Source organism: Homo sapiens, chromosome 7, assembly GCF_000001405.40.
Source record: "Homo sapiens chromosome 7, GRCh38.p14 Primary Assembly".
Taxonomy (NCBI): domain Eukaryota; kingdom Metazoa; phylum Chordata; class Mammalia; order Primates; family Hominidae; genus Homo; species Homo sapiens.
The window spans coordinates 128,194,171-128,204,684 of NC_000007.14; positions in this window are offsets into that span (position 1 = coordinate 128,194,171).

The following is a 10,514-nucleotide window of genomic DNA, read 5'->3' on the forward strand; positions in this document are numbered from 1 at the left end:
AGCATATATTTATTGAAACCTACTGTGTACTGTGCAGTGTTTTTACATCCTGGGGTATATTAATAAATAAGCTAATAAACCTCTCTGTCCTCATGGAGCTTGCTTTCCAGCATGGCAACACAGACAATAAACAATAGACAGAAGAAATAAGCAAATTATAAAGTATACTAGAGGGTTAATGTGCCATAGCAAAAACAAAAATAGAGGCATAGAAGCCAGTAGAGAAATCGAGAGAGAAGGCAGTTGCAGTATTAAATAAGGGCATCAGCACATGCCTTGTTGAGAAGGTGAGATGTGCACAAAGACTGGAAGGAAGGGAGGGAGAGATCCAGGGATATTTGGGGGAACAGCATTCCAGGCATAGGGAACAGCCAGAGCAAAGGCTTTAACATGCCTGGTGAGTTTGAAGAACAGCAAGGAGGCCAATGTGGCTGCAACAGAATGATGGAGGGGAAGAACGGAGGAGAGGAGGCTGGGGAGAACATAAGCCAGCACAACATGGTCTTCTCTGCTATTGTAAGAATTTCAGTGTGACTCAGAGAGAAATGGGAAGCCATTGCTGCAAACATGAGCCTTGCTGGTGATGCATGCCACGTGGAGAGACTGAGAGGAAGGCCCCACCCTTTCATTCTGACTGTAGTTGAATTTCCATTCAACTTCAATAACTTCCTTTATCATTTTTTGTATGCTTATCTGCTGACAATGAATTCTCTTAGCTTTTATTTTATTTTACTTTTTGAAACTGTATTCCCTCATTTTTGAAAAACATTTTCACTGGATATAGAATTCTGTGTTGATAGGGTTTTATTTTCTTTTAGCAGGTGAAGGATGTTGTTCCATAGTCTCCTCATCATCATTGCTTCTTATGGGAAGTCAGCTGTCACTTGTAGTGCTTAATGTGTCCTTCTTGCCCTCCCCCCACCTCTGGATGTTTTTAAGATTTTTCTCTTGTGTTTTAGTTTTCAGGAGTTTGATTATGATGCGGCTAGTGTGTTTTTCTTTGTATTGACCCTGGTTGGAGTTCCCTGAGTTTCTTAGATCTGTACATTCATGTTTTTCACCAAATGTGTGGGAATTTTCAGCCATTTTTTGCTGAAATGACTGGGTAATTTATAAAGAAAAAGAGGTTTAATAGACTCACAGTTCCTGTGGCTGGGGAGGCCTCACAATCATGGTGGAAGGTGAAAGTCATGTCTTACATGGCAGCAGGCAAGAGAGAAAATGAGAGCCAAGTAAAAGAGGAAACCCTTACAAAACCATCAGATCTCTTAAGACTTATTGACTACCATGAGAAAAGTATGGGGAAAACCACCCCCATGATTCAATGATCTCCCACTGGGTCCCTCCTTCAACATGTAGGAATTATGGGAGCTACAATTCAAGATGAGATTTGGGTGGGGACACAGCCAAACCATATAGATAACTTACATTGTTTCATGGGTCAGTTGGTCTCTGGTCATTTTTTAAAAATTATTTTTTCCTATGGTCTTCAGACTGGATCATTTCTGTTGATCTGTTTTCAAGGTAACTGTAGGCCCTTTGTTCTGCAGCCTCCAATCTGATATTAAGTTTATCCAGGAATTTTTAATTTTAGATCTCATAGTGTTCAGTTCTAGAATTTCCATTTGGATCTTTTTTATAGTTTCCAATTTTCTGCTAAAATTCTTACATTTGCTCACTCGTTATGTATATCTTTTTCTTTTAAATCCCTGACCATATTTATAATAGCTGTTTAAGAGTCTCTATCTACTAATTCTAACATCTCTGTTATTTGGAAGCCTGTTTCTCCCAAATATGTAACCATAGTTGTTACAATAAACAACTGTGGGTCTATTTTGCTTATCATGGACCACATTTTCCTGCTTCTTTTCATGTCTAAAGATGTTTTATTATATGCCCAGTATTATGGATGATACATTGTAGGGAATCCAGTTTATATTTTCTTTCTTTAAAAGGTATTGAGTTTTGTTCTGGAACACATTAAATTACAGGTGGATCATCCTGATCCTGCCAGACTAGTTTTTTTTTTTCTTTGCTATGTGTTTTTTCCTCAGTCCCAGAGTACAGCACCTACTCTAGGGTATGGTTGTTACTCCTAAAGGTGTGGTTTTTCTGAGATTACTCCTAGATGCTTGAAGTGCTCACTGAGGTCTCACTACTCTTTGCTGGACTAGAACTTTGTCTCTGGGCCCTGCATGAACTGTGGTAACCCTGTTCAGCTCTCAGCTCACAGCAGCCACTCTCTGATGGGCTTTGTGAAGTCTTTCCCTGTGTATAGCAACCTAGCCCTTAGCCAATCACCCACCAGGAACCCCTGTAGATGCTACAGTTTCCTTCTCACAGTTCTAGAGGCTAGAAGTACCAAATGAAGTTGTCTCTCTGTATGTCCAAATTTCCTCTTAGAAGGACACCAGTCAGATTAAATTAGGGTCCACCCTGACAATCTCATTTTTAATTTAATAACCTCTTGCCAGGCCTTATCTCCAACTGTAGTCTGAAGGACTTGGGGTCAGAGCTTCAACATACATATTTTGGGGGGACACAGTTCAGCCCATAACAGGTATACTGGCCCTCAAATTCCAGCCATTTCAGCAGCCCCGCAATCTGATCTCTGCCATCTAGAAAGTGCTGTGGGTAGAAATGTAAGGCAAATGCAGTTCTCACCTCATGTATTCCTCTTTCTCAACAATTACAGTCCTTCGGTGAAATGCTCTGCTGTGTGGAAAACAAAAACCAACACCAATTCCAGTCCTGTGCAGGCTGTGACCCAGTGACTGGAAACAGTTGTTCTGTATGTTTTGTTGTTCAGGTCTTGAGGGCGAGCCCAGTACTAGTGACTCCAACATGGCCAGCAGTGAAAGCCCAGCTGCAGGTTTTTGCATTCTTTGCCCCAGCTAAGTGGTAAAAATTACTCCCAATGCCAAATGGACTTTCCACACCGTGAGTTCAGGTTTTCTTTCCCTCATGCCACAGTCATGCTGTGGCACCCAGCAAATGGCTGGCACCCATTGGCCTCACTTGCCTCAAGTCTCCGCCCCAGTGTGCCTCGACCTCCCCATCCTACAGACCTTGCATGGGGATTGGGCAAAAAACACCTTCCCCTTCACTTTTGTCATTGCTTTTCCTCCTTTGGCTTTATTTATTGCCCTAGAAAGAAGAAAGTCAGATTGCTACTGGAGGTAGGTCTGATGGGGAAATAGGCAGAGAGACCGAGGCAGGGACAGAAGAAGAAGACAGAGACCTAGAGAGGGAAATCCAAAGGAAAATAGTGAGGCAGAAGGAGAGGGGAGGCAGAAGAGGGTGGGAGAGGCAGCAGGTGGCTCTTCTTCAGGGCTTCATTTAGGCCTGTGCTTTGGGCCCCAAGTCTGGGTACAACCTTCGCAGAGACAGAATCATGACTTCCCATCTATTCTCCTAGGGATGTGCCAGGGTCCAGGGCCCTGGCTGGCTAATAGTAGAGACAACCTGATGGTGGGTTTGCCTCCTGACTGTGGGTAGAAGGAGGTCAGGAGCAACTTTTCAGGGCCTCTTACATTCTTGTCCAGCAGCTGCCCCATGGCTGAGTCTGGAACCGCAACCCAGGAAGCTGTGTGGGTCACTGGAGGCCTTCTTGCCAGCCCAGATGAGGTCACTGTGTGGTGGGCAGGGCCTGGAGAGTGAATGCCTCTTCCAGAGCAGGCTGCCTCCTGGACAGAGCTGGAAAACCAGCCCAGATTCTCTGCTCCCCTCTCCCTGTCCCCAGACACTCTTCAGACCAGCTCCTCTGCTTGCATCTGTTTGAGCCAGCTCCCAGCTACCTGGCCATCCCCTTGCCCACAGTTATGAGCCCCCAGAACATCTCTGAGAGTTTCTCCAGGCAGGTCCAAGAGCGCAGCTCCCTGGGCCACTCCTAGGGTCCAACAGCATAGTTTCTGGGGCCACTCCTAGGATGCAATAGCACAGCTCCCTGGGCCACTCCTAGGGTGCAATAGCATAGCTTCCAGGGCCACTCCCAGATGCAACAGCACAGCTCCCTGGGCCACCCCTACAGTCCAACAGCACAGTTTCTGGGGCCACTCCCAGATGCAACAGCACAGCTCCCTGGGCCACGCCTAGGGTGCAGTGTGTTCACCAGCTGCGCCATTCTGTGTTGCCTCTTGTTCCCTGCAAGTTCAGGGGATGATGCCTCCAGACCTGGTCTTCACTTGCAATGGGGAAGAGTTCTGTCTGCACATGTGAATATTTGACCTTTGAGAAAAGTTCTTTCTCCCTGAGGTCAGATTCCCCCAGTGAAGGATGACAGCTTTCAGATTTTGAGGCCCCTCCCTTACCTCACAGTCCAAATTCCCAGATATAGCAAGTTCAGACGGGTGGAGTGGGCATGGGAGGTTGGATTTCTATTAGCATCAGAAAGAAACCAGGAAACTCTAAGATTATTAATAGAATGGAATTCTATAAACAGCCATATGTCGATTCATACACCATTCAGGGTATACAATAGTTATTTTTATCTAAATTATTTCCTGAACAAGAATAAGATTCAGATGTTAAATTAAACAACTGTTACTCTATTTAGTTTCATTTTATGGCTAATGAAACTATGAAGACAATAAGAACTTACAATAGATCCAGAAAATATTATTACTGAGCTGATAAAAAGAGTATAAATAGTGGCCTACAAATTAATGAGTAAAACTTGAATAAGAAATATTTCTGTTTTGCCGGGCACAGTGGCTCATGCCTGTAATCTCAGCACTTTGGGAGGCCAAGGTGTGTGGATCATTTGAGCCCAGGAGTTTGAGACTAGCCTGGGAAACATGGCAAAATCCCATCTCTACCAAAAATGCAAAAATTAGCTGGGTGTGGTGGTGTGTGCCTATAGTCCCAGCTACTCAGGAGGCTGAGATGGGAGGATCACTTGAGCCCAGGGGGTTGAGGCTGCAGTGAGCAGAGATCATGCCACTGCACTCCAGCCTGGATGACAGGGTGAGACTCTGTCCCCCGCACCCCCGCCAAAAAAAAAAAAAAAATAGAAATACTTCTGTTTTAACATGAACTAAGGATGATAAACACTAAATGGAGAAAATTACCAGGGACAGCTTGTTCTCACGCAGGTGATAAATCAAGAAATATGAAACTAAAATGAAGAAAGATGTAAAAAGTCACTCACCAGGTGGTAAAGTCACAATATTATAATGCCTACTATGTAACAGCATCTATAGTATGCAGTAGTAGGTGGGATGCCCATTTGAAGAGACCCCTTCCCAGAGCTCTCTGGAAAGAGAAGGTCATTTGAGGTCATAGCAATTATAACAGGAATACAGAGGCTTTAAAGGGAGATCTCAGTTACTGCTGGCAAAACCCACTGCCACTCATGAGGGCCCAAGAGCAGTAAGAGTCAGCCTCTGTAAGTGGCAGCAATGTGGCTCGTAGAAGAAGACACAGGTCCAAAATCAGCATTTGTGATGAGGCCTCACCCTTTGGGAGGCCAAGGCGGGCAGATCACTTGAGGTCAGGAGTTTCAGATGAGCCTGACCAACATAGAGAAACCTCATCTTTACTAAAAATACAAAAAGTAGCCAGGTGTGGTGGCGGGCACCTATAATCCCAGCTACTCGGGAAGCTGAGGCTGGAGAATCACTTGAACCCAGGAGGCAGAGGTTGCTGTGAGCCAAGATCACGCCACTGCACTCCAGCCTGGGTGACAGAGTGAGACTCCTCAAAAAAAAAGGAGGAAGCAGCAGCAGCAGTGGACAGAAAACACCCAGATTAGAACTTGGGCCCAGCGCTTCTGCTCTGCCTCTGTCCCCTGGTGGACAGGGATGAGCTGTGTAAGGTCAGTTTTCCATAGACACTGACCAATCTTCCACCTTATGTTGACCTGAATCTTAGAATACTTGCAGACTCTGGATCCAGAGATGACCTCCAGTTTCCTGCCTCTAGTCCTTCCATCTTACCTTCCTCCTCCCCTCCTCCCTTTGTCCCTCTCTCTCTCCTCCTTTCCGTCTTTCCTCCCCTCCTCCTTTCTTTCCATCCTTCTTTCCTTGTTTAATTCCTCCCTTCCTTCTTTCATTCCATCAACACTTACTATGGTTACTGGGCATATAGCAGCTAACAAGATGACACTTCTGTCCTCATGGATTTATAGTCCAGTGGGACAGACATTAAACAAACAAAACTATCACAGTGGTACGTATGTATTTGCAAAAGGAGATTAAGTGCTAGGATGTAGTACAGGGTGCTATGTAACCGACTAACAGGGTGGATTGAATTTGGGTGCTGGGAAGGTCTCGCAGGGGGAGTGATAATTAAGCTCCCTGTGGCAGGCTGCATGGGAGTTATCCAGGCGGAGTAGGAGGGAGGTTGTTCCTGGCAGAGGGGACGGCAAGGGCAAAGGCCCAGAGGCAAGGAGCTGGGAGACAAAACACTGGGAGACAGGGAAAGACTGACACAGGAGGAGCCGGGGAGTAGGCAGGTGATCAGGAGTGATTTAATTTTAAGAGTGGCAGGAAATGATTTAAAGGTTTCTTAGGCAGTGGAGGAGCTTAAGCAGATTTGCATTAAAAAATTAGAGCCACTCGGAAGGCTGAAGCAGAAGCAGGAGAATCCTTGAGCCCAGGAGTTGGAGTCCAGGCTGGGCAGCATAGGGAGACTCCACCCCCCCGCCCCATCTTTAAAAAAAAGAATTTAAAAAGTTACTGTGGATGCAGAGAAGCGCATGGATTAGTGGGGCAAATGTGGGTTTGGAGTGACCAGGAAGAATGCCACTGTGGCCAATAAGATGGCGAGGGCACGGTGGTCTTCTACAGGTCAGGGCGGTAGGGTGGCAGGAGACACGTGGGTAGATTCAGAAGACGTTTAGGAGTTGGACCCTGAGACTTTTGAGAAACGGGGGGTGAGGAAGTGAAGGTGGCCGCGGTGGCAGGAGCAGCCAGGAGGATGGAGCCTCCCTTCACTGAGGTAGGGACACCCCCTCCTTTGTGTCTGAAACTCTCCCTGTTTTACAGTTAAAAGGCGTTAGCGCTGGCCTTTGAGACAGACTCACTGAGCCACCCAAGGTCACCCGGGCAGCGGGCACAGTTGGGACTGAACGCAGGGGCTCTACCTGTGCCAGGTGTCCACACCTCGGTGGCGCTCGGCCGCCTGACCTCCTCTTGGAGTTCCCGGCTCAGGGCAGGGGGTCGCGTCCCTGCGGTCTCTGGAGGCCACGCCCCACCCGGGCCCACCGGGGTGGGCGTGGCTACGTGGCTCCCTGGCGCTGAGGCGCCTCCTTCCCAGGTGGGCGGGGCTCCTGCCGGGTCGGTTCCCGCAGGCTGCCCGCGGACCCCAGCCACTTGGCCAGGCTGCAGGGACAGTGCGAGGAGGCGCTCAGCCTGGACCACAGCGGAGGTGTGCAGGACTCAGCGAGGCCCCCAAGCTTGTACGCCTCCTTCCTCCGCCGGCTTCTCTGTCTGCCTCCCACTGTCCCTATTCTGCCCTTCACAGATCGTTGTCATTATCAAGTCCTACACTTTGAGAGCAGAAAACGACCCCGTACGTGGTGGGTCTCCGACATCTGTTTATTACGTTGGACCGCATGCTGCATATGATCCAGCCACCTCGCTCTACTCCTGTGGCTGCCCTTCGTCCTCGTCGCCGGGACCCCTCTCCCTGCCTCCCAGACGACCTGTGCCTTACCCCTTCCTGTCTCTTATATTCTCATAAATTTGCTGCCTCCTCTCCTACGTCCGTCCTTCGGGGTCAGCCTCCATCCATTACCTCTCAGCAGCATTGCGAAGCCTCTGTTTTCTCCCCGACTTGCAGCAGCCTCTCCCTCCTCCAGTCAATTTCGCAGGTTTTTCCCAAAACCTTCAGAGACTGCCCATTGCCTGTAGAGGAAAAGCAGGCTCTTCGCCTGGCACGGACCACCAAGGTTTGCCTGAACATCCTTTCCCACCTTTTCTCTCACTTCTCCCCTTCCTGTGCCTACAAATCAGCCCCTCTGTGTATGTCTCGGCCTTGAGCCTTGGCTTCTGCCATTCTCTCTCCTCCTCCTCCTCGTCTCAGATTAAAACCCCTCCCATCCTTCCCAGCTCAGCTCAAATATTACCTCTTTGGTGAAGCCTCCTTTCCTCCTCCCCTTCACCCCTTTCAGCCTGGAGAATCTTCTTCCCCGGGCCTTGCAGTACTGGGACCCTCGTCCAGTCCCCATGGATGCTGATTTTGCCCCATCATTATTTGTGCTGGTGCCATGGGAAGAAGCGGCCCAGGAGAAAGATCAGGCTCCAGGAGAGGCTGATGCGCTTGCTTCGGGATGTTTAGTTGGAAGGGCTCCGGGCACCCAAGGAGAAATGTCCACACTTCCCTTCTAATCTGGGGGCCCCTGGAGGACAGGGTCTGTGGTGGGCTTGTCTCTACATCCCCAGCTCCCAGCACAGAGCAAGGCGTGCGCAGGCACTCATTGACGTCTGCCAAGCCAACAACTGAGGAGCAGATGTAGGGCCCAGAGGCACCAGCTGCAGGGATTCAGGGAAAGGGATTAAGGTACCAAGGGAAGTTCCAGGAAAGAGGAGAGATTGATCTATCTCCACTCAGCAGGCAAGGGTTTGGATGGGGAAAGGGAGGAGAAGGGTGTATGGCGAAGACTTTCTGACAGAGGAGGAAGGAATTTCTGGAGGAGGGGTGGGAGGTAAGCTGGGACTATGGCTGGGCTTGGGAGGAGGGACAGTGCAGGATCTGGTGGTCCTGTCTGTGCAGAGGGTGCCAGGCAGAAGAGCTGGTGGGACAGGGTGGGGCACACATTTGAGCCAGAAGGAGATCCAACCTCACCACCCTGTGCCCTGTGCGATCTCAGATGCTGGTTGGGGTCCCTCACCCCTTATCCTCTTCAGGGGAGTGGCCTGAGGAAAGTCCTTTTCAGAACCTGGTCCAAAAGCCTGCGTGGGAAGAAAGCGGGAGAGGGAAGCTGAAGACCTCTGTCCATGCGCCAGCTCATGTTTTATGCTTGCCAAGTCCCAGGAGGGACACGGGGAAGGTGGGAATCTCAGCCAAGTACACAGCTTATTCCCGGAGGGGCGACGGGCCACAATCAGGAGGTTGGGCTGGTGAGGCGGGTGGCAGGGGGTCCAAGAGGCTTGTGGAGGCAAAACCTGAGGACTGATCTGAAACAGGGGCAGGGGGAGGAATCACAGTTGGCAGACAGGAGCAAGCCTGTGAGGTATGTGGCTGTGTCCACTGTCCTTGAACAGAGGTGATGGCCAAGGGGACAAGCTGGGACTGAAACCAGCTCTGGCTACGAGCCCGGCCACACTGGCAGGTCTGGGAGAGGGGGCCCCTTTCTCTCATTTGCGCGAAGGGTCTGTTGGGGCTAGTGGGGCCCTGCTTGGGTCCCCTTTTTGCCCTCCCCAACTCCCCTACCCTCCCTTGCCCCTCCTCCTCCCTTTCCTCCTAACAGGCTCCTAACAGGCTCAAAAGCCTGTTTCCCCCTCCCCACTCCCACTTCAGTGAAATGCAGTGAGTTCTGAGGAAAGGCTCCATCTCAGCCATTTTCACCTCCATAGGAAGATGCTTTCTGCTCTGTTTCCTGTTACCTTTGCAAGGAAAGCTTCCTCCCTATTAAGTGGAAGTGGGAGGGAGCAGTTTGGAGGGGTGAGAGTTGGGGGTTTCCTATGGCCCCCTTGTCACTTATAGGGAGAAACCCTCCTACCACGAATGCCTAGACGGGGTCGAGTGTTGGCCAGAAAAGCTCTGGAGGGTTGCTGGTTTGGGAGGAAAGGCTGTGAATTGTTTTCAACAAGCATAGGCTTCTGCAGCAGGAGGACCCACACAAGGGCTGGTTTCTGTTAATGAAGCAACTGGAAATGTGAGCCTCTGACGTCCGAGTCAGCCTGTGTGGATGGTCCAAGAAGTGGGGAGTGGAGAGAATGAGGCCGATGTTTAGTTGCTCCACACATCTGAGTGTTCTCTGTGTTTGCCAAGCACAGTCTCAACCTTGGGTTCATTTCATCTGTGAGTTTATTCAGTAAATACTTATTAAGCACCTACTATGTGCCAGGCACACTTCGAGGCACAGAAAATGTAGCAACGATGAAGACAGATGGGGTCCTGCCTCATGGCAACAAATGATAAAATAGAGTGTCTGGTTGTGAAAAGAACTGTGAAGTCTAACCAAGTAGGTGAGGGCATAGAGAATGAGGACACACATGTGTGCACACATATGTATAAAGACATTTATTGTAAGGAATTGGCTCACACAAATATGGAGGCTGACAAGTCCCAAGAGCTGCTAGGCTCAAGACCCAGGAAGGGCTGATGTTCAGTTCAAGTCTGAAGGCTGGAAAAAAATAATGTCCCAGCTCGAAGACAGCCAGGCAGAGAGAGTTCTCTCTTACTCAGCCTTTCGGCTCTGTTCAGGCCTTCAAGTGATTGGGTGAGGTCCCCCCACATTAGGGAGGGTGATATGGTTTGGCTCCGTGTCCCACCCAAATCTTATCTCGAACTGTAATCCCCACATGTCCAGGGAAAGACCTGGTGGGAGATGATTGGAACATGGGGGT